The 27,914-nt window shown below is 41.0% G+C and overlaps 1 long non-coding RNA gene across 1 annotated transcript in view; it reads left to right on the top strand.

Annotated features, from left to right (window-relative positions):
- LOC105375416 (uncharacterized) overlaps positions 1-18,855 on the top strand; it is a 237,202-nt gene extending 218,347 nt beyond the window's left edge. Inside the window, exon 3 of the long non-coding RNA XR_001745293.1 lies at positions 18,738-18,855. This is a non-coding gene — a long non-coding RNA (uncharacterized LOC105375416). The remainder of the gene's footprint in view (positions 1-18,737) is intronic.
- The last annotated feature ends 9,059 nt before the right edge of the window (positions 18,856-27,914 follow it).

The following is a 27,914-nucleotide window of genomic DNA, read 5'->3' as shown; positions in this document are numbered from 1 at the left end:
GGCTGGGTGAAGCCCAGGCCCAGCCTATCACACTAACTTGGCCTCCCAGAATCAAACTTGGTGCACTCTGATGGCTTCAATATTCTGAAAGGCTGGTGGAAACTCTACCTAAGTCATGAAGTGTTAGGGAAAATGGAAACCCCCTAAAATCTAGTTGAACATTAGGAATTAGGGTGAGATAAGCGACCAGCTCATGTTCCCAAAAAAGATGGCATGGTGGCCGGGCACGGTGGCTCACGCCTGTAAACCCAGAACTTTGGGAGGCCAAGGCGGGTGAATCACGAGGTCAGGAGATCGAAACCATCCTGGCTAACATGGTGAAAACCCGTCTCTACTAAAAATACAAAAAATTAGCCAGGCGTGGTGGCAGGCGCCTGTAGTCCCAGCTACTCGGGAGGCTGAGGCAGGAGAATGGCGTGAACCCAGGAGGTGGAGCTTGCAGTGAGCCAAGATCGTGCCACTGCACTCCAGCCTGGGTGACAGAGCGAGACTCCATCTCAAAAAAAACACAAAACAAAAAACGATGGCATGTCACTAAGAAATTCTTTTATTCCTTCATGATTTAGTTATGCATTTTGATCAATATTTTGTCTCACATATATGAGAAAAGCAATGCCTAAAACAGATTTGTGAACTGCCAAGAATATTCATTTTCATTCATTTGTCTCTCTTTTTACTAAAGGTCAGTTAATCAAAGAATGTGGTATCCATGATCAGTCTGAAATTATTAAAGACCTCAGAGATATGCAGCTGTGATCTCTGAACTGAAAAGCCCTCGCTTGTTCTCCAGGAACAATAACAACAACAAAAAGATGAGTCAGTTGACACTGTATACAGCTTCCATTGTCTTTGTAAAGAACAATTTATTATCTCTTGTCTCGGGTAGCTGTCATCTGCCTGGGGATTTGATGAATAGAGTATATAAAAGTGTGGGCATCAGTAAATTAGCCAGTGATTCAGACCTATTGGAAGGTCACATCTCATTTTTCATGCCTAGTTGAAAATCTGAAGTGTTAACAGTGTAGGATACCCCAAAACAGGCTTGCAGCCCTGAATACAAGTTACATTTTCATCAGTAATTTAATACTAAATTTATTATTTGATAATAAATATATTTAAAACTCAAAACCCTAGGTGTTTTAAGTTTTTTCTTACAAGCTGTATTACTTTACAAATATGGCGAAGTTTAACAGGATTTTAAGAGGTTTTTGATTAATGATTGGTCCCAATTATAAACTAATTTAATTAGATCCTTTAGATATTTTAACCTGCATTTATAAATGTAACATATTTGATTACCTTATAAAGGGTACTTCCATTCCCATCCTATGGCCATGCCCAGAGCAAGGAAATGTGGGAAATAACAGTCTCTACATAGGTGGCTATGTATCCAATTAAAACATGCAAGATTCTATTTTTAAAAGGAAAAGAGAAAAGATTGGGCACTGGAGGGGGTATTAGCAGTCTCTGTCATATCCATGTTCTTCTGAGGAGTTAGTCCAATAGCTTACCCCTCCCAGCCTTATTGTTTCCCAGCAGCCCCCTTAGAGTGCAGCGCTTTTTTTTTTTCCTTGAGACGGAGTCTCATTCTGTCGCCCAGGCTGAAGTGCAGTGGCGCGATCTCTGCTCACTGCAAGCTCCGCCTCCTGGGTTCACGCGATTCTCCTGCCTCAGCCTCCCGAGTAGCTGGGATTACAGGTGCCTGCCACCACGCCCGGCTAATTTTTTTATTTTTAGTAGAGACGGGGTTTCACTGTGTTAGCCAGTATGGTCTTGATGTCCTGACCTTGTGATCTGCCCGCCTCGGCCTCCCAAAGTTCTGGGATTACAGGTGTGAGCCACTGCGCCCGGCCCCACAGCGCTTCTTTTGTAATTACTGTGGCAGCTTTGACCACATAAATGTTCCACGTGTACTCAGAGTATGGCTCTGGCCTCAGTATAAATTCTCTAGGTGATTGCATCTTTCTCTTTCAATTGTTATCTACAGATTAGAACTCAAATGAAAATACTGCTACAATTCTGCCAGGTATACCAACTCAGTGCAATAGAATATGTCCATAGAAATTATCTCCAGTGCTAATCTCTGTATAAGGTCTTAAATGTGGAGGATTTTCACACTTGTCCTTTGATAATTCTCTGTACTCATAACCTTGGTTTTGGGCAGCTAAGAAGATGAAAATTAGAAAATCAACATAAGGTCAAAATTCAGCATTTAAAAAGCCAAACAAAACTCTTCATTAACGCATTTCTGATGAAGGATATTTCTACTTAGTATGGAAGAAAAGTGTACACAGATGATGGTTGAGTTTGGTTTGTAGCTATATATATATAATGAGTCAAATTTAAATCAAAATAATCAGCTTATTTTCTTAAAGGTCTTTGCCATTTTCTAAAAGATTACATTTTCAAACTACTGTTTAGCTTGAAAGGATTTTTTTCCCATCAACTTTGCTTGACATTTGATAAAGTTATTTCTTTTTGATAGTTTAATAAATCTTTAGTCTTTCCTGTATCAATAACTTGAGCTCAAATGTAGAAAGGAAAAGCAAGGATGATTGGGAAAGGAAAGACAGAATAACATAAGAACATAAGAGAAAAGAATAATAGAATAACCAAAGTTCCTCTCCTTTATCACAAATAAGTATTTGTTTTCATAATACACATCATTCATACTACTTTCCATTATCCCTACAAATTCCTGAATCCACCATGTGAAAAGTCATTATATTTCTTTTTTTTTTTTTTTGAGGCGGATCACTTTACCATTATGTAATGCCCATCTTTGTCTTTGTCTTTTTTTTTTTTTTTTTTTTTGAGATGGAGTCTTGCTCTGTCCCCCAGGCTGGAGTGCAGTGGTGGGATCTTGGCTCACTGCAAGCTCCGCCCCCTGGGGTCATGCCATTCTCCTGCCTCAGCCTCCTGAGTAGCTGGGGCTACAGGCGCCCACCACCACGCCCGGCTAATTTTTTTTCATTTTTAGTAGAGATGGGGTTTCACCATGTTAGCCAGGATGGTCTCCATCTCCTGACCTCGTGATTCGCCCACCTTGGCCTCCCAAAGTGTTGGGATTACAGGCGTGAGCCACCGTGCCGGGCCGAAAAGTCATTATATTTCAAACAAAAACCTCCTGTTGACATTGCATACGTATTTTTATTTTACATTATTTGCAAAGATTTTGCTACCATTATAGATTTTTAAATGTTATAATAATTAAAAATTCAAGTTTCTCTATTTAAAAAATCACTTATTTCTACATCAACCTAGAGGTAGAGAGTCACTATTTCTTATTCCTTATTTGCTTCCTTTCTGACTGATTGAGCATGAGCAGTTGGATCTGTTTCCTGAGTCCTTTTACTTGCTTTCAGGAGCTGTCTAGTTCATTTGTGTAGTAGCTCAGAAGGAGGAGAGCTAGTCAGTGCAAGGGAAGAGATGGATTCAGCTAAAACCACAGGTGTGCCTCAGGGAGTCTAGAAATTGCTCATGGCATTGTCTGTAGGAACATTCTGCAGTTTTCTGACGACAGGCTCCGAAAGTTTTTATTAGATTCTCAAAGGTATCTACAATCCAAAGTAGGTTTAAAACTATGGCCTCTGTTCCTTCTGTAAGTTGTCAAGGGCATAGTTGCACCTTTAAGAGAGTCGCCATATTCTAGGTCTTCTTCCTCCACCTGTGGGAGGCATGATGAAGTCTGGGAGAAACACGATAGGAGTGTTTGCTGTGGCTAGAAAGGGCTAGAGTGGCCATAGTAGTAAGAGTCAATGCAACCCAGAAGCGCCTGCCCATCTCATCCAGCGTGGGCTAACTTCATTTCTCCACTCAGCACTTCAGGTTCTCCTATTGTAAAGTATGTATTTGGGGCAGGTAAACACTACCTAGCCCTTATTTCATCTAATATGTATATTAGGTGGCAATTTACATATAGGAGTATACCGAACTGTTAGCTTCCTGAGGGCAGAAGCCATCTTTTCTCCTTCCTGGTCTCCTGCCATCTTGTAGAGCACCTGACATATAATGAATGTCCCATAAACGTTTATTGAATTGAATTAAGCGTTAAGAATTAGACATGTTTTATACTGTGTGTTTATCAGGTCACTTGAGATTTATATAAAATCGTGTTTCTTTGTTAAACAAGCAAAATTTCCCTTGGGCTTCAAGTACTGTACAAAAAACAAATTCAATTAAATCTAGCAGCAAAATTCTCTACAGACAAAAGAGCACATCTATATCCATTAGGAAATCCTTTCCACCTGACATAGGAATGAACCTCATACATACCAGCTCTCCCTTCAGTTCTTCTGTAAACCTGGATGTGTGAACATATCCAGAAAAAAAGTCTAACTCACAGAAAATGACCAGCCTTTGATCTGCTGAGATTTGAATCACAGAATATTTATATTCTTCTATTTATTATTATAGTTGATGTTTAACATGATTCATCAACCTAATCTTACATATTTAATTGGTTTCTGTTCTTGTAGCTTCTTTCCCCCTTAGAGTGCGAAGACTCTGAATAAATAAACTTAAAATTAAATATCCTAACCCTGAGTAATTGATAAGGAGAATGGAAACAGCAAACAGGTGAGCAAAAAAAAAAAAGAAAACAGAAGGAAATTAAAAGTGAAGGAAGTATATGTAGTCCAAGCGCTTTATCTTATCTCCTGGGGTTTTATTTCGTCTGTTTGATGTCATTGCAAATATTTGCTGAGTACCTAAGTTGGGCTCTGTGCCAGGCATAAGAAGCATGACAATGAAGAAGACAAGGATCTTGAACTCAGCCACTGGGGGACACAAACAAATCACTTTTTATAAAATAAGACAAAAGAAAATGAATTCTGAATAATTGCAAATAAGTGGGCATGCCCATGAAAGAATAATTCATTCAGACTAGAGACCTGGGAAAGTTTAACAAAGAAGGTATCTAAAGTAGTGAACTCTAATATTTCAGAAAAGAGGAAGTTTCTGGCACTTAGATCCAGAGACAAGAAACTCTGGGTCTAGTGTAACAAACTGACCTTGGCCTAGATAGAGAAGTAGTTGCTCCAATCCCTTTCCTGCTGTGAGTTTTGATGTTCACTACCTGCAATGTGACAGTGGAGGTGTGGGGGAGGGAGAGAAAAAGAAAGAAGGGAATTGCTAAGTGAAAGCAAAATAGTGGCTTGCAAAATAGTGACCTGCACATATTCAATTTAGAATAGGATTTATCAGGCCAGGTACGGTGGCTCAAGCTTGTAACCCCAGCACTTTGGGAGGGTGAGGTGGGCAGATTACCTAAGGTCAGGAGTTCAAGACGAGCCTGGCCAACATGGCGAAACCCTGTCTCTACTAAAAAGATACAAAAATTAGCCGGGCATGGTGGCGGGCGCCCGTAATCCCAGCTACTTGGAAGGCTGAGGCAGGGAGAATTGCTTGAACCCAGGAGGCAGAGCTTTCAGTGAGCTGAGACTGTCTCAAAAAAAAAGAAAAAGAATAGGATTTTTCTAACCCACCTTCAACCTCAGCATGTTAATTTTGTTCTGATGAAATCATATTTACACCAAGCAACTCAATCCCACTTGCCAACCATGTGAACACACACACACACACACACACACACACACACACACACACACAGACATACCTCTCTACCTTGGAGTTCATGTACTCATAACTTTGGCTTCTAAATATCTCAAGCATTAAGATTTAACTCCATGACTAACTACTAATAAGAACCATCCTCATGCCCTGCCCCACTAAATAACCCCACCCCAACTCTCTCTCTCCTAAAAACTGTCTAAAAACCCCTCTTCAAAACAGCCAAGAAAGATTCCTGCGTTCAGGCAATAGCCAAGGAACATTTTCAATGTTTAGTGAGTTAAGGTCTCAAAAAGAAGAAATGTAACTTTATTTAAAAATGCACGTGTAGTTTTTTATTTTTATTTAAAGGAAATGTTCACATTGCAATAGAAAAAAACCTAAATGTCTAAAAATGGGGAATAGTCAAATATTGATACCCACATATATTAAAATACTATGTGGCTGTTAAAAATTATTTAGAAAAACAAAGATGTTGGCAATATACAGTACATGATAAATTAAGTGAAAGAAGTAAATTATAAAACAAGATATAGAACATAATTGCATTATTTTTAAAGTATGTATATTAACAGAACAAAGATTGGAAAGATAAACATCTAAATAAGATGTGATGGGATTGCAGGTCAAGTGTGGTGGCTCACGCCTGTAATCCCAGCACTTTGGGAGGCCAATGCGGGCAGATCACGAGGGTCAGGAGATCGAGACCATCCTGGCTAATACAGTGAAGCCCCATCTCTACTAAAAATACAAAAAAAAAATCGCCGGGCATGGTGATGGGCACCTGTAGTCCCAGCTACTCGGGAGGCTGAGGCAGGAGAATGGTGTGAACCTGGGAGGTGGAGCTTGCAGTGAGCCGAGATCACGCCACTGCACTCCAGCCTGGGCGACAGAGCGAGACTCCATTTCACAAAAAAAAAAAAAAAAAAAAAAAAAAAAGATGTGATGGGAATGTGAATGATTTTTTATTTCCTTTATACTTTCCTGCATTTTCCAAATTTTTAAGCAAAAACACATATTACTTTTAAAGTAATTATAAAGGTCAAAATTGTTTAAACAACCCAGGAAAACTGTTTTTCCACTTCCTACTCAAATATACTGCTTTTGAATCTCACTTTTGACTCAAAATAAATGAGGTGGCTGTTGGTTCAGGTACAAGGAATCAAGTTACAAAATAATTTTCCCTTTCTTTAGGCAAAATCCATCATCCTGCAGATAATTCTCTATCTATCCCCCAGGGTGTCCTCTTTCCCTGCCTATCCTTATCTGCTGGTATGAGAGAGATAGAGACACCCCTCTCTGCCTCCAAAGAACTTATTACCATAGTTGGCCCTATCTATGCCCAAGTGCCCAATTTCTAGGCTTCCTTCATCTCAGATCCCACAGGGAACAGCCTCTTTTAGTTCAGAGACAAAGACGTGTCTTCAGGGTGAAAATACAAAACATAAAAGATACACAGAAGCCTCTGGGGGTTACATGTACCTCTTAGACGTAAACAGTTATTATGTAATGTGAAAAAATTCCCTTTGCTGGAAACTGCTTTTATTCCACCAAAGACTGAACACACAAGTGACAGAGTATGTGTGTGCCTTTGTTCTTGGTTGGTTCTGATCTAGAGGCTAAGGTTTATTTATTTTGTATTTTTATTATTATTATTATTATTTTGAGATGGAGTCTCGCTCTGTCGCTCAGGCTGGATTGTCCCAAAGCAAAATTCACGAAGAGGCTTCTCTGCTTTTTGCCTATCAAAAAGTAATTCCAGCAGAAATGGCTTGCTTTCCCCATAGGGCAGTTTGGATTGTATGTATGCCTATGACTAGTATCAGGTGCAGAAATATTTATTTGGGAGAGTTAAGTTTTCTTATATTGTTTCAGGATGATTTCCCTCCTGATTGTATTCAACTACCTTCTCTTGCTTTCCTCTTTCTAGGCACGTAGTCAGTGATCAATTTCTGCAAACTTCGTAAGAGGTAGCTCTTAAGAATAGACATTTTCCACAAAGTGCAGTCTTTGTTTACATGTTATGTGCTGTAGGCATAAGAGCATCTTAAGAAGATACTATATAAAACAAAAACATTTCCAGTTCTAATAGGAATAGATTCCTAATGGCAGCATTCTAGAGGCTATGAAAGTTGTTATGAAAGGAGTGTATTTTAAGCAAGGTCCTCCTGTATTCCCTTAAAACATTCCTTTCTGTAGACTTTCTCCAGACTTGGAATCAGAAGAGTCCTAAGCTGTTTCTCCAGGGGTTGGAATGAATGGGAATTGATCTACCTGTGGTCTTGGTGAATCAGCTTGTGACCAGTCAAAGTTATCTGCAGGACTAAAAGTGCACTCAATTTCATGCCCTTGAGGGACCCTGAAATGCTCCCACATTTTTCAAGCAAGCATCCAAGGAAACTCCAACATTATCTCACTGCGTACAGTTTTCCTATGACTTTGACTTAATCGTAATGTGGTGACTTAATCACCCTATCTTTAGCCAAAGGAGTTGGGCCACTTGGCTCAATCCTGATACAGCCGCCATCTTTGTGAGATAAACTGCCCTATCGCAGACCTTGAGGGTCCACCAACATAAGATCAACTATTCAATAGGATGCCCAGTATCCTCTACTAAGGAAAAAGTTATCTGTATTTTCGTTTATTTATTTAACAAACATTGATTGAATACCAACTGTGTCAGGAATTCTTCTAGGTGCTAGAAATTCAGCAGTACAAGGCAGGAGCTGGTGAGAAAAATATCCCTGCTCTAATGGAATCTCCTGCTACTGAGGCAAAACAGATGATAACATAAGCAGGTAAAACGTGTACATGTTAGTTGGTGATTACTCTAAAGAAAAATAGGGCCAGGCGCGGTGGCTCATGCCTGTAATCCCAGCACTTTGGGAGGCCGAGGTGGGCGGATCACGAGGTCAGCAGATAGAGACCATCCTGGCTAAAACAGTGAAACCCCATCTCTACTAAAAATACAAAAAAAAAAATTAACCGGGCGTGGTGGCGGGCACCTGTAGTCCCAGCTACTCGGAGGCTGAGGCAGGCGAATGGCGTGAACATGGGAGGCGGAGCTTGCCGTGAGCCGAGATGGCGCCACTGCACTCCAGCCTGGGCAACAGAACGAGACTCCATCTCAAAAAAAAAAAAAAAAAAAAAAAAAAAAGAAAGAAAAGAAAAAGAAAGCAGGGAGGCCAGGCATGATGGTTCATGCCTGTAATCCCAGAACTTTGGGAGGCCAAGGCGGGTGGATCACTTGAGGTCAAGGGTTCGAAACTAGCCTGGCCAACATGGCGAAACCCCATCTCTACTACAAATACAAAAATTAGCCAGGCATGGTGGTGCGCGCCTGTAATCCTAGCTACCTGAGAGGCTAAGACGGGAGAATTGCTTGAACCCGGGAGGCAGAAGTTGCAGTGAGCCAAGATCGTGCTGCTGCACTCCAGCCTGAGTGACAGAGTGAGATTCCACCTCAAAAAAATAAAATAATAAAGCAGCGTAGGGGCGTGGAGAGATTCATGTCTTGGAGAGGGACAGAGTGGCCAGGGAAAGCCACACTGAGAAGGTAACCACTGAGTACAGACCTGAAAAGGAGACGAAGGAAGCCATGTAGGTATCTTAACAGGGAGCACTCCACACAGCAAGAACAGAAGTACAAGAGCCCTAAGGCAGGAGACTCCTACTGTGTCTGAAGAACAACAAAGAGGCCTGAGTGGCTAGAACCCAGTGAGCAAGAAGAGAGAAGTCAAGGATGAGGTTAGAGAGGTCAAGGGGCAGGCATCACACTGACCATGTAGGGATTGAGGTTTTCCTCTGAGAGACATGAGAAGCCACTGAAAGAAAGCAGACTTATTTAACAGCCACACCCTGATTGTTGTGTTGACCAGACTGCAAGAAGGCAAGGGAAGAAGCAAGAGATCAGATAGAAGGTTTTATTTGTTTTGGTTTTTGTTGAGACAGGTCTCGTTCCGTTGCTCAGGCTGGAGTGCAGTGTCATGATCATGGCTCACTGCAGCCTCAGGTTCTCGGGCTCAGTTGATTCTCCCACTCAGCCTCCTGAGTAGCTGGGACTACAAGTAAACACCACTATGCCCAGCTAATTTTTTGTAATTTTAGTAGAGGTGGGGTTTCACCATGTTGCCCAGGCTGTTCTCAAACTCCTGGGCTCAAGTAATCCACCTGCCTCGGCCTCCCAGTGTGCTGGAATTACAGGCGTGAGTCACTGCACCTGGCCAAGATAGGTTTTTGCAAAAATTCATAGACCAAAGATGATAGTTGCTTGTACGAGGACAGTGGCAGTGAAAGTGGTAAGAAGTTTTAAAACTATTCGACTAAACCTATCATTTATCTTTATTTGTATCATAGCTATACAGAAAACAGGTGTTAGTTCCCCATCCCTACTCCTAACTCCAGGGGAGTCTAAATAGGCTTTTATACCGACTGAATTAATATATAAGGGTGCCTACCCATTGACCTCTCTAACCTCATCCTTGACTTCTCTCTTCTTGCTCACTGGGTTCTAGCTACTCTGGCCTCTTTGTTGATCAGTAAAACAATAGTCAAAGGGTTAACTACTAGAAGGTTGATGAGTAAATTTAAATAGAATTTTCCATAACAAACACACAAGAGTAACTGTAATTTCCCACATTCAGTAGGTAAACAAGTATCATAAAATCAAGGTTAAGGGCAATATGCAATAAACCATTGTAGGTAAAATAGAGTTTTTGGGAAATATCTTGCAAATCGACTATGCAGCACTCATTTTATGATGACAAGATACAGAAAAGATAGAAATCTGAAAAGAAAGCATCCTCATTTCAGCCTTATAATCTGAGTGTCTTTAAGGCAGCTGATTTATAAATGGACTTCAAACTTCTTTCCTGACTCAAAAGGAAATGCAAACGGTAGCTCTTGGAGAATACAGAACACCAGGGCCAAGAATCTCTTTGTTCCTTCAAGCCTCTTCATTCAACATTGATTGAGACTTGCCGCCTCTATCATCAACTCTACCTCCGTGCAAGACTGAATCAAAGAATCTGGGGCTTGTAATTTTGAGTTCTATGTCTATGCTATGCTGTGCTATGCTATGCCATAAGAAGCTCTCCTCAAACAGAGAAAGTGGTCACTAGACCAGTTGGGTTTTTTCTTTGGAAATTTGAAATGGGAAAGATTTAAACAACTGGCAATTGCGGTAGAGAGAAGGAAAGAGCAGCTGAGTCATGTTAGGGTAGAGAGGCAGGACTGTGTAGAGCTCTGTGAATCCTGACCAGGATTCCTCTCCCTCTTACTGCCTTAGGAATCCTAGCTTGAGGTAAGCTAAATGAGTTGGCTTCTTGCAACTAAAACTACCTCCACAGGCACTGAGAAAAAGAATACTATCTGAGACTTATTTCCAATTTATGATGGAAGATACTTAGAGGAAAAAAAGTGATTTATCTTCAAAACTTGAAATGATTATTCTGGGAAATGATTTTTCTAGAAAAGGTGTAGGAAATCATTTCCTAGAAAAATCATTTCTAATATATAGTTCATTGGCTGGTGAGATAAGTTTTCCTAGAAAGCATTTGTCTAGGAAAAATGATTTTTCTGGGCTTGGTCTCAGACATCACTTCTTGTTACTATTTATTATACTTTAAGTTCTAGGGTACCTATGCACAACGTGCAGGTTTGATACATGGGTATACATGTGCCATGTTAGTTTGCTGTACCCATCAACTCGTCATTTACGTTAGGTATTTCTCCTAATGCTATTCCTCCCCAAGCCCCCCACCCCCCGACAGGCTCCAGTGTGTGATGTTCCCGGCCCTTTGTCCAAGTGATCTCATTGTTCGATTCCCACCTATGAGTGAGAACATGTGGTGTTTGGTTTTCTGTCTTCATGATAGTTTGCTGAGAATGATGGTTTCCAGTTTCATCAATGTCCCTGCAAAGGACATGAACTTATCCTTTTTTATGGCTGCGTAGTATTACATGGTGTATATGTGCCACATTTTGTTAATGTAGTCTATCATTGATGGACATTTGGGTTGGTTCCAAGTCTTTGCTATTATGAATAGTGCTGCAATAAACATAAGTGTGCATGTGTCTTTATAGCAGCATGATTTATAATCTTTTGGGTATATACCCAGTAATGGGATTGCTGGGTCAAATGGTATTTCTAGTTCTAGATACTTGAGGAATCACCATGCTGTCTTCCACAATGGTTGAACTAGTTTACAGTCCCACCAACAGTGTAAAAGTGTTCCTATTTCTCCACATCCTCTCCAGCATCAGTTGTTTTCTGACTTTTTAATGATCGCCATTCTGACTGGCATGAGATGGTATCTCATTGTGGTTTTGATTTGCATTTCTGTGATGACTGGTGATGATGAGCATTTTTTAATGTGTCTGTTGGCTGCATAGATGTCTTCTTTTGAGAAGTGTCTGTTCATATTGTTTGCCCAGTTTTGGATGGGGTTGTTTGCTTTTTTCTTGTAAATTTGTTTGAGTTCTTTGTAGATTCTGGATATTAGCCCTTTGTCAGATGGGTAGATTGCAAACATTTTCTCCCATTCTGTAGGTTGCCTGTTCACTCTGATGGTAGTTTCTTTTGCTGTGCAGAAGCTCTTTAGTTTAATTAGATCACATTTGTCAACTTTGGCTTTTGTTGCCATTGCTTTTGGTGTTTTAGTCATGAAGTCCTTGCCCATGCCTGTATCCTGAATGGTATTGTCTAGGTTTTCTTCTAGGATTTCTATGGTTTAGGTCTAACATTTAAGTCTTTAATCCATCTTGAATTAAATTTTGTGTAAGGTGTAAGGAAGAGATCCAGTTTCAGCTTTCTACACATGGCTACCCAGTTTTCCCAGCACCATTTATTAAACAGGGAATCCTTTCCCCATTTCTTGTTTTTGTCAGGTTTGTCAAAGATCAGATGGTTGTAGTTGTGTGCTGTTACTTCTGAGGCCTCTGTTCTGTTCCATTGGTCTATATATCTGTTTTGGTACAAGTAGCATGCTGTTTTGGTTACCGTAACCTTGTAGTATAGTTTGAAGTCAGGTAGCATGATGCCTCCAGCTTTGTTCTTTTTCCTTAGGATTGTCTTGGCAATGTGGGCTCTTCTTTGGTTCCATATGAACTTTAAAGTACTTTTTTCCAATTCTGTGAAGAAAGTCATTGGTAGCTTGATGGGGATGGCATTGAATCTATAAATTACCTCAGGAAGTATGGCCATTTTCACGATATTGATTCTTCCTATCCATGAGCATGGAATGTTCTTCCATTTGTTTGTGTCCTCTTTTACTACGTTGAGCAGTGGTTTGTAGTTCTCTTTGAAGAGGTCCTTCACATCCCTTATAAGTCATATTCCTAGGTATTTTATTTTCTTTGTAGCAATTGTGAGTGGGAGTTCACTCATGATTTGGCTGTTTGTCTGTTATTGGTGTATAAGAATGCTTGTGAGTTTTGCACATTGATTTTGTATCCTGAGACTGTGCTCAAGTTGCTTATCACCTTGAGGAGATTTTGGGCTGAGATGATGGGGTTTTCTAAATATACAATCATGTCATCTGCAAACAGGGACAATTTGACTTCCTCTTTTCCTCATTGAATACCCTTTATTTCTTTCTCTTGCCTGATTGCCCTGGCCAGAACTTCCAACACTATGTTGAATAGGAGTGGTGAGAGAGGGCATCCCTGTCTTGTGCCAGTTTTCAAAGGGAATGCTTCCAGTTTTTGCCCATTCAGTATGATATTGGCTATGGGTTTCTCATAAATAGCTCTTATTATTTTGAGATATGTTCCATCAATACCTAATTTATTGAGAGTTTTTAGCATGAAGGGCTGTTGAATTTTGTCGAGGCCTTTTCTGCATCTATTGAGACAATCATGTGTTTTTTGTCATTAGTTCTGTTTATGTGATGGATTATATTTATTGATTTGTGTATGTTGAACCAGCCTTGCATCCCAGGGATGAAGCCAACTTGATTGTGGTGGATAAGCTTTTTGATGTGCTGATGGATTCAGGTTGCCAGTATTTTATTGAGGATTTTCGCATTGATGTTCATCAGGGATATTGGTCTAAAATTCTCTTTTTTTGTTGTGTCTCTGCCAGGCTTTGGTAGCATGATGATGCTGGCCTCATAAAATGAGGTAGGGAGGATTCCCTCTTTTTCTATTGATTGGAATAGTTTCAGAAGGAGTAGTACCAGCTCCTCTTTGTACCTCTGGTAGAATTTGGCTGTGAATCTGTCTGCTCCTGGATTTCTTTTTGGTTGTTAGGCTATTAATTATTGCCTCAATTTCAGAGCCTGTTATTGATCTATTCAGAGATTCAACTTCTTCCTGGTTTAGTCTTGGGAGGGTATATGTGTCCAGGAATTTATCCATTTCTTCTAGATTTTCTAGTTTATTTGCATAGAGGTGTTTATAGTATTCTCTGATGGTAGTTTGTATTTCTGTGGGATCGGTGGTGATATCCCCTTTATCATTTTTTATTGTATCAATTTGATTCTACTCTCTTTTCTTCTTTATTAGTCTTGCTAGTGGTCTATCAGTTTTGTGGATCTTTTCAAAAAACCAGCTCCTGGAATCATTGATTTTTGAAGGGTTTTTTTTTGTGTCTCTATCTCCTTCAGTTCTGCTCCGATCTTAGTTATTTCTTGCCTTTCTGCTAGCTTTTGAATTTGTTTGCTCTTGCTTCTCTAGTTCTTTTTTTTTTTTTTTTTTTTTTTTTTGAGACAGAGTCTCACTTTGTTGCCCAGGCTGGAGTGCAGTGGCTTGATCTCAGCTCACTGCAAGCTCTGCCTCCTGGGTTCACACCATTCTCCTGCCTCAGCCTCCCGAGTAGCTGGGACCACAGGTGCCCGCCACCACGCCCAGTTAATTTTTTGTATGTTTTAGTAGAGACGGGGTTTCACCATGTTAGCCAGGATGGTCTTGATATCCTGACCTGGTGATCGGCTCGCCTTGGCCTCCCGAAGTGCTGGGATTACAGGCATGAGCCACCGTGCCTGGCCACTTCTCTAGTTCTTTTAATTGTGATGTTCAGGTGTCGATTTTGGATCTTTCTTGCTTTCTCTTGTGGGCATTTAGTGCTATAAATTTCCCTCTACACACTGCTTTAAATGTGTCCCAGAGATTCTGGTACGTTGTGTCTTTGTTCTCACTGGTTTCAAAGAACATCTTTATTTCTGCCTTCATTTCATTATTTACCCAATAGTCATTCAGGAACAGGTTGTTCAGTTTCCATGTAGTTGTGAGGTTTTGAGTGAGTTTCTTAATCCTGAGTTCTAATTTGATTGCACTGTGTTCTGAGAGACAGTTTGTTGTGATTTCTGTTCTTTTACATTTGCTGAGGAGTGCTTTACTTCAAATTATGTAGTCAATTTTAGAATAAGTGCTATGTGTTGCTGAGAAGAATGTATATTCTGTTGATTTGGGGTGGAACATTCTGTAGATGTCTATTAGGTCTGCTTGGTGCAGAGCTGAGTTCAAGTCCTGGATATCCTTATTGATCTTCTGTCTCGTTGATCTGTCTAATATTGATAGTGGGGTGTTAAAGTCTCTCATTATTACTGTGTGGGAGTCTAAGTCTCTTTGTAGGTCTCTAAGGACTTGCTTTATGAATCTGGGTGCTCCTGTCTTGGGTGCATATATATTTAGGATAGTTAGCTCTTCTTGTTGAATTGATCCCTTTACCATTATGTAATGGCCTTCTTTGTTTCTTTTGATTTTGTTGGTTTAAAGTCTGTTTTATCAGAGACTAGGATTGCAACCCCTGCTTTTTTTTTGCTTTCCGTTTGCTTGTTAGATCTTCCTCCATCCCTTTATTTTGAGCCTATGTTCTGCACATGAGATGGGTCTCCTGAATACAGCACACTGATGGGTCTTGATTCCTTATCCAATTTGCCAATCTGTGTCTTTCAACTGGGGCAGTTAGCCCATTTACATTTAAGGTTAATATTGTTATGTGTGAATTTGATCCTGTCATTATGATGTTAGCTGGTTATTTTGCCTGTTAATTGATACAGTTTCTTCATAGCATCGATGGTCTTTACAATTTCGCATGTTCTTGTAGTGGCTGGTACCAGTTGTTTCTTTCCATGTTTAGTGCTTCCTTCAGGAGCTCTTGTAAGGCAGGCCTGGTGGTGACAAAATCTCTCAGCATTTGCTTGTCTATAAAGGATTTTGTTTCTCTTTCACTTATGAAGCTTAATTTGGCTGGATATGAAATTCTGGGTTGAAAATTCTTTTCTTTAAGAATGTTGAATATTGGCCCCCACTCTCTTCTGGCTTGTAGGGTTTTTGCCGAGAGAGCTGCTGTTAGTCTGATGGGCTTCCCTTTGTGGGTAACCAGATCTTTCTCTCTGGCTGCCCTTAACATTTTTTCCTTCATTTCGACCTTGGTGAATCTGACTACTATGTGTCTTGGGGTTGCTGTTCTCGAGGAGTATCTTTGTGGTGTTCTCTGTATTTCCTGAATTTAAATGTTGGCCTGCCTTGCTAGGTTGGGTAAGTTCTCCTGGATAATATTCTGAAGAGTGTTTTCCATCTTGGTTCCATTCTCCCTGTCACTTTCAGGTACACCTGTCAAACGTAGATTTGGTCTTTTCACATAGCCCCATATTTCTTAGAGGCTTTGTTTGTTTCTTTTTACTCTAACCCTGTCTTCTTACTTTATTTCATTAATTTGATCTTCAATCACTGATACCCTTTCTTCCACTTGATCGAATTGTCTGTTGAAGCTTGTGCATGCATCATGAAGTTCTTGTGCCATGGTTTTCAGCTCCATCAGGTCATTTAAGGTCTTCTCTACACTGTTTATTCTAGTTTGCCATTCGTCTAAGCTTTTTTCAAGGTTTTTAGCTTCCTTGCAATGGGTTTGAACATGCTCCTTTAGCTCAGAGAAGTTTGTTATTACTGACCTTCTGAAGCCTATTTCTGTCAACTCATCAAAGTCATTCTTTGTCCAGCTTTGTTCCATTGCTAGTGAGGAGCTGCAATCCTTTGGAGAAGAGGCACTCTGGGTTTTAGAATTTTCCACTTTTCTGTTCTGGTTTCTTCCCACCTTTGTGGTTTTATCTACCTTTTGTCTTTGATACTGGTGACCTACAGATGGGGCTTTGGTGTAGATGTCCATTTTGGTGATGTTGGTGCTATTCCTTTCCATTGGTTAGTTTTCCTTCTAACAGGTCCCTCAGCTGCAGGTCTGTTGGAGTTTGCTGGAGTTCCACTCCAGACCCTGTTTGCCTGGGTGTCATCAGTAGAGGCTGCAGAACAGCAAATATTGCAGAACAGCAAATATTGCTGCCTGGTCCTTCCTCTGGAAGCTTCGTCCCAGAGGGGCACCTGCCTATATGAGGTGTCTATCGGCCCCTACTGGGAGATGTCTCCCAGTTAGGCTACACGGGCATCAGGGACCCACTTGAGGAAGCAATCTGTCCATTCTCAGAGCTCAAATGCCATGCTGGGAGAACCACTGCTCTCTTCAGAGCTGTCAGACAGGGACATTTAAGTCTGCAGAAGCTATCTGCTGCCTTTTGTTCAGCTATGCCCTGCGCACAGAGGTGGAATCTATAGAAGCAGAGGCCTTGCTGAGCTGTGGTGGGCTCTGCCCAGTTTGAGCTTCCCTGACGCTTTGTTTACCTACTCAAGCCTCAGCAATGGCAGACACCCCTCCCCCAGCCAGGTTGCCACCTCGCAGTTCAATCTCAGACTGCTGCACTAGCAGTGAGCAAGGCTCCGTGGGCGTGGGACCTGCCGAGCCAGGCACAGGGGAGAATCTGTCTGCCAGTTGCTAAGAAAAACTGGGAAAAGCGCAATATATGGGCGGGAGTTTCCTGTTTTTCCAGGTACAGTTTGTCACGGCTTCCCTTGGCTAGGAAAGGGAAATCCCCTGACCCCTTGCGCTTCCTGGGTGAGGCAATGCCCTGCCCTGCTTTGGCTGGCCCTCTGTAGGCTGCACCCACTATCCAACCAGTCCCAATGAGATGAACCAGGTAGCTCAGCTGGAAATGCAGAAATCACCCATCTTCTGCGTCAGTCACACTGGGAGCTGCACACCAGAGCTGTTCCTATTCAGCCGTCTTAGAACGGATCTCTCCCATCACTTCTTATCTACGTGATGCTTGTCCTAATGCATGGCCAGAAAAAGAAGTCTATGGCCACCGTGGCACAGAAGAAAAAAAAAAAAAAACTCAATCTTTCATGTCCTCATAAGCCCTGTAAGCAATTGAATTGCACTCTATAAATAATCTTCTTTGTGAACCACGTGGCCTTTTGAATAAACTTGTTTACTAATAGCCCATTCATAAACACGATATAAATAATAAAGTTATTAGCTACTACTTACCAGCACCTAGCAAGTTTCAGGCCCTGTGCTAAGAGCTTTATGTACATTACTACAGTTAATCCTTAGACGCATGAGGCCACATTTTTATCCATTTTTACAGAAGAGAGATCATGACTTACAGAAGCTATGTGGCTGATAGAGTCACACAGCTAGTGAGGAACAGCCAGGATTTGAAAACAGGTATGTCTTTAGGCCACTTCCTTATTCCCCAACCACATCCAAAAGCTAGAGGAACAATGATGGTGGTTGTGTGGGAAGGCAGGGTTGAGGTTCAAGGCACATGAGTGAGAAATAGTCCAAACTGGTGACTTTCCTATAGTTACAGAGCTGGTGAGGTGCTGGGACACTACCTTTACTTGCTGCCGGTGAATATTTAGTCTCAAGATACTGCCTTATAATGACCAGACAGAGGAACAGGAAGATAGAGACAGGTGTTAAGAAAGTTTAGCCTAAGGCTGCCTCCTTACATATTTTAAGTTCAGTCTACAGGTTTCTCCACACATAGGGAACTATAACCTAACTGGATGTTTCAACAGACTGTAACCTATTTTCTTATATCAATCACCAAATTTCAGCCAATCAAAGGAAGCCAACTCTTCAAACCATATTCAAATAAGGCAAATGCCCAGCTGTAACCAATCTAGTTTCTCTACTTCACTTCTGTTTTCTGTATGTCATTTTCTTTTTTCTGTCCATAAATCCTCTCTGACCATGTGTCAGTGCTGGAGTAGCTCTGAATCTATTCTGGTTTGGGGGGCTACCCAATCTGAAATTATTCTTTGCTCAATTAAACTCTGTTAAATTTAACTTGTCTAAAGTTTTTTGTTTTGTTTTGTTTTAACAGATGGCATTAGAAGTGGAACCCAAAGTAGAGCCTCTTGCAACCCCCAGAAGCACCAAGAGACCAAGAAAAATACCTACCAGGCCCATTGTGTTCATTGCTCTCTTGCAGAAACTGGTGATTGTGGGTAAGTTCACTCTTGGATTCCAAAGCTCCGTGGACTTGTGTTTTGAGCTATCTAAATTAGTTTGAGCAAATTTTTTATCTGAACTGGATTAGGACCTTAGGACAGAAACTGGACAGAGTCTAGGATTAGACTAATTAGATGAACCAGGTAGCTCAGCTGGAAATGCAGAAATCACCCATCTTCTGTGTCAATCACGCTGGGATTCACACTAGACTAATTAGTCTAGTCTAATCCTAGACTCGAGCTGAAAAGTAACTGGCTTGGATCCAGTTAGAGGCCTTGGATATCTGACTGGATGAAACAGAAACTGGCAGTAAATGGCAATGCTACAGGGGGTGCAAACTTCAATTTTTGGAAATTTGCAGAGATTTTTGTGTTCTGTCTCTTTTGATTTTTTTCTCTGGCATGTTTAGGTAGGAAAAAATCATTGGATAAGTTGATCAGGGGGATTTAAGAGCCAAAACCAAGATTTGACATAAAAATGGGATTCTTAATTTCTAAAAAACTGATTACTCCACCTTCCAATTATACTTACAATTGCATGTGTAAGTATTAGACCCTGGAAGCAGCAAATGCTTACAAAAATGTTGAAATCTTACTAAAGATAATGTAATGGGAGAGTTCCCTGAGCCCTTCACGGGACTCGTGATGGGGGTGTGACTCGTTTGCTCAGCTGCTGCACACTCAAACCCCTTTCAGGAGGAGGAGTACACAGACAGGCAGGTGCAAGAGCCAGGGAAAGCACTTTTGGGCTCCAGCCCCACGGTAGCATCTAGGGGTGTGTTACAATTAATGCTCTCTTAGCAGTTGCCACCTGCAGATGGCTAAGTATTAAACCAGCTCAGTGGAGAGCCAGGGTGACAGCCTTTTACACCCTGCCCTCTTGGTACCTGGGTCTTTGTCCAGCGTCCAGGAAGAATCAGGTCACACAGACTTGAAGGATGGTGAATGCGGGGATTTTATTGAGTGGTGGAGGTGGCTTTCAGCAGGACAGATGGGGAGCTGGAAAGGGGATGGAGTAGAAAGATGATCTTCCCCTGGAGTTTGGCTGTCCCACAGCTGATCTCCTCTCCAAACATCCCCAGCCAGACTCCTCTCAATGTTCAGATGCTCCTTCTCTCCTTCTCTGCCATGCCACTCGGCCACTCATCTGTTTCTCTGCTTGTCAGCTTCTGGAGGCTGAGGTTTAGGGTTTTTATGAGTACAGGATAGGGGGATGTGGCAGGCCAAAAGGCAACATTTGGGCATGAAAACAGGAATGCCTGTTCCCATTTAGGGCTGCAGGTTTCCAGGCTTGAGAGTGGGACCTCTGCCAGACAACCACCCTCTTCTACCCAGTATTTCCCTGCCTCCTGTCCATATCAATACCAAATCACTATGAAACATTCCAAATGAACAACACTGCACTTTAAGAAATGCATTTAAAATGAAGGTTCCCAAATTTGTCTCATGCAGGGAGGCTTATTGATGTGCAGAAGCTTCTAAAAAGATTTCAGTATTTTATTGCCTCTTTAAAAAGACTATATGAGGCAAATAAAAGGCTTAAGCAACTGATTGGTAAGAAAAATTAAATCTACTAACCTTTTGCTTAGTTACTATTATACCCTAAAGGCTGAAAAAAAGCTATCTTGGATGAAGTATTTATAAAAGGTAGGCCCCTGGTAAAGTAAGTTTGCTTCTTTTTTTTTTTTTTTTTCCAAAGCTATCTATGCTGAGTGCTGAGTCCAGGCATAGAGAATTGGTTCTTTGTGCTTTTTCTTCTTAATGAGCTCCACTCTGAACTCAGTAATTTTAGCTAAGAAACAGTAGCTAAGTTAAAAAGATGTACTATTAAACTAAATCAGTCTCCAAAATATAACTTCCTGGCATTTAGCTAGCTATTTTGAAATCCTTTTGTAAAAAAAATTTACATCTATGAAAAATGTCTTCTTTTTTTTTTTTGAGATGGAGTCTCGCTCTGTCGCCCAGGCTGGAGTGCAGTGACGCGATCTCAGCTCACTGCAAGCTCTGCCTCCCGGGTTCACGCCATTCTCCTGCCTCAGCTTCCCGAGTAGCTGGGACTACAGGCGCCCACCACCACGCCCGGCTAATTTTTTGTATTTTTAGTAGAGACGGGGTTTCACCATGTTAGCCCGGATGGTCTCCATCTCCTGACCTCGTGATCCACCCACCTCGGCCTCCCAAAGTGCTGGGATTACAGGCATGAGCCACCACTCTTGGCCAAACGTCTTCATTTTTAAGGGTGTGTTCCTCTGTACACCAAGAAGAGACAGAGGCCTGAGTCACTAGAAACTCTTACCATTGTTTCAAATTTACATAACAAGTCTTTTGTTTAAGGTACCTTTGATATGGACAGGAGACAGGGAAATACTCGGTAGAAGAGGGCGGTTCCCCAGTCAAGGCCCCACCCTCAAGCCTGGAAACCCACAGCCCTAAATGGGAACAGGCATTTCCGTTTTCTTGCCCAAATATTGCCTTTTGTCCTACCACACCCCCCTATTCTGTACCCATATAAACCCCAAACCCAAAGCCCCATGAGCAGAAGAGCAAAGGAGCAGAAGAGTGGCACAACAGAGAAGGAGTGTCTGAAGGTCGAGAGGAGTTCAGCTGGGGACAGTCGGAGAGGAGATCAGCTGCAGGATGGCTGAACTCCAGGGGAAGTTCATCTTCCCACCCTACTCCATCCGCTCTCCAGCTCCCTGTCCATCCTGCTGAGAGCCACCTACACCTGGAAAAAAAGTCCCCCACATTTACCATCCTTCAATTTGTCCGTGTGACCGGATTCTTCCTGGATGCTGGACAAGGACCCAGGTACCAAGAGGGCATTGAGCTCGTTAACACTTAAGCAGTCTGAAGATGGCAGGGCTAAAAGAGCAGTGTAACATCCTCACTTGGGCTCTGGGAGTTGCAGGCACCCACCCCCAGATGCTACCGTGGGGCTGGAGCCCAAAAACACTCACCCTGGCTCCTGCACCTGCCCATCTGCTCCCCCTCCAATAAGGGGTTTGAGCATGGGTGGCCAAACAGATGAGCCACACCCCTGTCACACATCCTGCAAAGGGGGGTCAGGGAACTCTCCCATTTAACTTTTTCTTATAATTTTAACTGGGCCTTACCTCTACCCTTTTCCCTTGGTTTAGACAAATGATGGTACAATATTTAGGCCCGAGGCCTACCTCCGTGATTTTGAGATATAAACTTTCTCCCTTGTTTCACCTAAGAGTCATCTTGTTAGAAATGCAAATTTAGAGTTGCTTAGCTGACAGTTACTGAGGGCAATAAAACAAGTCACTGGAAGATTGATAGTCTGAATGGAAAAAAAAACTGTTTGAAAGCCAGCAAATGAGAATTCTTTATGAAAGTTATAAGACCTGCTTCTGTTGGGCACAGTGGCTCACGCCTGTAATCCCACCACTTTGGGAGGCTGAGGCTGGTGGATCACCTGAGGTCAGGAGTTCAAGACCAGCCTGACCAACATGGTGAAACCCCATCTCTACTAAATACAAAAAATTAGCCGGGCGTGGTGGTACATGCCTGTAGTCCCAGCTACTTGGGAGGCTGAGGCAGGAGAATCACTTGAACCTGGGAGGCAGAGGTTACAGTGAGCTGAGATTGCACCACTGCACTCCAGCCTGGGCGACAGAGTGAGACTCTGTCTCAAAGAAAAAAAAAAAAAAAAAAAAAAAAGACCTGCTTCTGTCTGTCTGTATTTCTATATGTCTATATGTGTTATGCTATGTGATAGTATTTTGTAAATAAAGCTGGTTTTTAAATTGTTAGTAAAATAAAATAAGAATGAATTCAGAATTGTCAGTTTAGTATAATTCAGGCTTCTTTATCTTCAAATACTGGTCAGAGAGGTTTATGCTGTCTCTGATACCTGTTTTAATGTTATGAAATTGCTGCTTCTGTAATATTTTTGATACTTACTTGATTTGTTTGTAAGCTAAAGTTGTAAGAGCTGGTTGCTGGGCTTCCTTGAAACACGCATCTTACTGTGTGTTTGGTTTTGAGCCTTTGGATTCCGGGGCTTGACAAGTGGCCATGCTGAGCCCTGGGGATATGTTCTCAGTGCCTAGATGGCAGAGTAAAGCCCAAAATGGCCCCTTCCTCCCTGGTGCAGCTTTGCCTTCTGGCCGTTCAGGGAGGCGTTGAATCCTCCAGGGATCCTCTTCCCAGCTGTGTCCTCTATCCTGAGCTCTATAGACAGTGTGTAAATTCAGGACCTAGGTGATTCCCACCCTTCCTAGTCATCCTAGTCAACCACATGAGTACTTGGGACCCAGTATAACCAGAGAAGATGTCAGGGAGGGTACCAGTGTCATAGTTTCACAATTCTTTTTTGTGTGTGTGTGATGGAGTTTTGCTCTTGTTGCCCAGGCTGGAGTGCAATGGCATGATCTCAGCTCACTGCAACCTCTGCCTCCAAGGTTCAAGCGATTCTCCTGCCCCAGCCTCCCAAGTAGCTGGGATTACAGGCTTGAGCCACCACACCTGGCTAATTTTGTATTTTTAGTAGAGACAGGGTTTCTCCATGTTGGTCAGGCTAGTCTCAAACTACCGACCTCAGGTGATCCACCCCCCTCGACCTCCCAAAGTGCTCGGATTACAGGCGTGAGCCACTGTGCCTGGCCATAGTTTCACAGTTCTTTTCAGTTTTCATGTTATGTTAAATCAAGTAATAGGTGGTCATAAAATGTCAAGTCATTTCTAAGTTAAAATACTGAAACATTAATTATTAAACATATGTTTGTTTATATACTTTGCATCTTATATTTATATGGTATAGAAAAGCTAAATATATCTAGATTAGCTAATTAAAAAATTGCCAGGAAACTTCTTTCTTAACAATTATGAAATGGTTTTCATCTACAAATACTGATATAAAACAGTTCAAAATTACTTACTTCCTAGAATTTCACTAGAAATTAGGGTTACTAAGTTGAATTTGTAGCTAATATATGTAATTAAAACTACTAGATTTACAATTGTTTACTAGAGAAATAATTCTGTATACAGAGTGTATAAAGAAAAGCAATATATGTTTTTGGTGAGGAACATTGTAAAGGCATGAAAATATGTGCTTGTTGAGAAACAAATAATTTTGTCTAGAAGAGAAGTTATTTAAAGTTTGTTTCAAAATAAAGGAATAAAAATGACAGATAAAATTAAGTGAATATAGAAAGTTGAAAAGAGAAAGAGAATAGAAAGAAGTTCTGTAGAAAATTATAAAAGGTTTACTGAAATCTTGTGTGGTCAAAAGCTGATTGAGATTGAATGGATTTGCTAAGATTGCTAAAGTTAGCTTCAGTATTGATAACACACTAATACAAAAGTAAGTTTTGGTTTTATATTTTGAACAAGGATTTCATGTAGTATTAATAAGAGACAGTAAAATATCTTTGTTCACCTTTTGAGTAAAATGCAAAAAAAAAAAAAAAAGAAGAAAGGAAGAAGAGAGATTCTGTTTCATGCTGTCTTTTTTAGGTCTCTTGATTGGAAAACTGAGTTTCCTCTCTATGAAAGAATGAAGATTTTCACTTTTTAAAAACTTTAAAAGGCGAAACATTTATATGATCTGAAGAGAAACCAGAGTATTGCTTTTTAAAAACTTTAAATTGTCACTTAGGCTAAATTAATCACTATTATTTTACAGTGATCTTTGATCCTGTTTTGTTTTAAACCTTTGACGTATTTGACAAGCTTTCTAAAATCAAATTTAAAATTAAATCTTTTTGACTGAAAACTAACTTTGGGATGTTACAGAAGACCCTTGAAGCCTCCTAAAGAGAGAATAAACAGATTTATTTGATATGTTAAATTACATGGAAAGGATTGTCAAATAAGAAAGGTTTAACCTTCTTTGAGTTATATTTTGTGAAAATGTTATCAATATATGTTCCAAAATTGTATGAGGTTCCTAAAATTCTGATATGTCTTGGTATGTTTTCAGTCATAATTATGGTTATTATGTTAAATTATTATAGGCCATAGAAATAAAATTTTCTTGTGAATTTCATCTTTTAAGTTATTTTTAAGACCATTTAAGTTATCTTTTAAGACCATTTTATTTCCACAGTTAATTACTTAATTCTTTTGTTTGTTTGTTTGTTTGAGACAGAGTCTTGCTCTGTCACCTAGGCTGGAGGGCCCTGGATGATCTCAGCTCACTGCAACCTCGGTCTCCTGGGTTCAAGCAATTCTCCTGCCTCAGCCTCCTGAGTAGCTATGATTACAGGCACCTGGCACCATGCCCGGCTAATTTTTGTATTTTTAGTAGAGATGGGGTTTCACCATGTTGGCCAGGCTGGTCTCGAACTCCTGATCTTAGGTCATGCGCCCACCTCAGCCTTGCAAAGTGCCAGGATTACAGGCGTGAGCCACCACGCCTGGCCAGTTGCTTAATTCTAATGCATTTTCTGAAAGCTTACAAGCAAGTAAAATCCTAGAATATTGTATCTTTAAGGAGGTTCCTGGAAAGACCCCTGACGACCATTCTGGAATACAGGTTTTGGATAACTTTAGGATCATATCATTTGGATTGGGTAAAAATTCCCAGAACTCTAATGAAGAAATTGACTGGATTATAAAACTGCAAACCCAGCAGGAAAAGAATTAATACCAAAGGAATACTCTGCCAGATTTTCATGCTAAATCAGCCAATACTGAAATGTGATTTGCAGTTCAAATGAACTCCATGGTCCAAGTCAAATTACCTATGATATCCCAATTATTAGATTGGGTTATTAAATTTATATCCTCTTAAATACCAGTCTGTTTCTCCAATTCAGGTACAATTACCTAGGCACCTGAATTGGAGAAATAAAACTAGTATTTAAAAGGATATAAATTCAGTGTTAAGCATGGGTTAATGGAGAGCTTAGATCACCATCTGGTCCTTTCTGGTTAAAGCTTCCATTACTAAAAGCTATGCCTTTCCTGACTCATCATGGAAGCAATACAATGATCCAAATAGAAAATGTGTATATTGGTGTGATGACTGTTCTAAATTGCTGAAATGTTTTATGACCAATGTTTGGTTTGTCAAACTCATAATCCTGGGAATACAATCAAAATGTCGGGTACATTTCTGCTACCTCATGGTAGCATTTTAACATTTAATGGTGGGTTTTCATTCACCTATCATTTTCTTTTTATTTTTTCTTTTATTTATTTTTTTTTTTGAGATGAAGTCTCGCTCTGTCGTCCAGGCTGGAGTGCAGTGGCACGATCTCGGCTCACTACAAGCTCCACCTCCTGGGTTCATGCCATTCTCCTGCCTCAGACTCCCGAGTAGTTGAGACTACAGGTGCCCACCACAGCACCCAGCTAATTTTTTGTATTTTTGGTAGAGACGGGATTTCACTGTGTTAGCCAGGATGGTCTCAATCTCCTGACCTCGTGATCCGCCCGCCTCGGCCTCCCAAAGTGCTGGGATTACAGGTGTGAGCCACCGCACCTGGCCCACTTGTCATTTTCAATGCATGTTTTCTGGTTGTATAAAAGCTTTCCCATGCAAGAAGGGTGATGCTATAACAGTTGCTAAAAAGTTATTAGGAAATATACTTCTTTCATGGTGCATTACTGGAGAAATCTCCAGCAATAAATGTACTTGTTTCACTGGCAAGTTGTAAAATAGTTAAATAAGGTATTGCAGATACAATAATATTAGGCAAAGCTAACTGAATGGACTAGATAGCCTGGTCAAAGGTAACGCAGACTGATGACAATGAGATCCACTTCCAGTGGAAAACATAAGTTGAACCCTTATGAAATAGTCACTGGAAGGCCTATGCTTCTAATAATAGAACCTCATGTATCTTCTACTTCTAAATTCTGATATGAATAAATGATGCAAGGCTTTAATGCATTATGCCTAAGTGTATTTTCACCAGGTAAAGAAAGCTTTTCATGATCTACCAAATGAGGACAATTAAACCCCTAACAATCTAGAACCCAAAGATTGAGTCTTCTGGAAACAACATCAGAGAAAGGCTGCCCTTTCCACTTAAACTAGAGCAAAACTTCAGGACCTTGAAACTGGGGTCTATAATATCACAACTCAGAAGGGCCCTTCCAGACTCTCAGAACTGGGCACCCAATGGAGGCTTTGAGGTAAAGGTTACAGGGGGAGTTTGTCCCTGGAAGCACATAGCATTCTAGACATGGACAGCTTTCCTAAGATAACAAGTCAAGACTTCTCTGCTATCATGAGCCTCTTACCTCTCTTAAGTTTTTCCTTGTTCATGCCCCTATGAACAGTAGAATTGGAAAAGAGATCTTGTGTGCACCCAGGGGGCGTACTTTTATTTGTGGAAGATTTCACAGCCAACCTTACACATGAGCAAACTTATACCTTGATGTATAGAAAATGAAAAGCCAGGCGGGGCACGGTGGCTCACGCCTGTAATCCCAGCACTTTGGGAGGCCGAGGGAGGCAGATCACGAGGTCAGGGCATCGAGACCATCCTGGCTAACATGGTGAAACCCCGTCTCTACTAAAAATACAAAAAAATTAACCAGGTGTGATGGCGGGCACCTCTAGTCCCAGCTACTCAGGAGGCTGAGGCAGGAGAATGGCGTGAACCCGGGAGATGGAGCTTTCAGTGAGCTGAGATCATGCCACTGCACTGCAGCCTTGGCGACAGTGCGAGACTCCATCAAAAAAAAAAAAAAAAAGAAAGAAAATGAAAAGTCAGTGTGGGTGAGGAATTTAATGGTGCATTTGTTGATTCATCATCAGTCAGAAACAGAACATTGGTCCATTCCTGTTAACCTACATTCTAGGTTAAATAGAACATTGCCAGGAGGCCTTCACCCTTCAAGGTGGGAATCATTTGTTAGCTTCCTTTATCTGTGATTTGGAATAAATGACGCAATGAATAGAAATTTGTCCCTCCTAATAGGCTTTATATCAGATTCTACTGCAAATGCTGTGGATTTACAACAGACTTTTAAAAAGTATCTTGCTAAAGTTATGCTAAATAATACAATCGCTCTGGAATACTTACTGGTATAACACAAAATAATCTGTAGAGTTCCTGACACTTCCT

Source organism: Homo sapiens, chromosome 7, assembly GCF_000001405.40.
Source record: "Homo sapiens chromosome 7, GRCh38.p14 Primary Assembly".
Classification (NCBI taxonomy): Eukaryota; Metazoa; Chordata; class Mammalia; order Primates; family Hominidae; genus Homo; species Homo sapiens.
The sequence above is the reverse complement of the archived record's forward strand: the minus strand, read 5'-3'. Positions and strand labels throughout refer to the sequence as shown.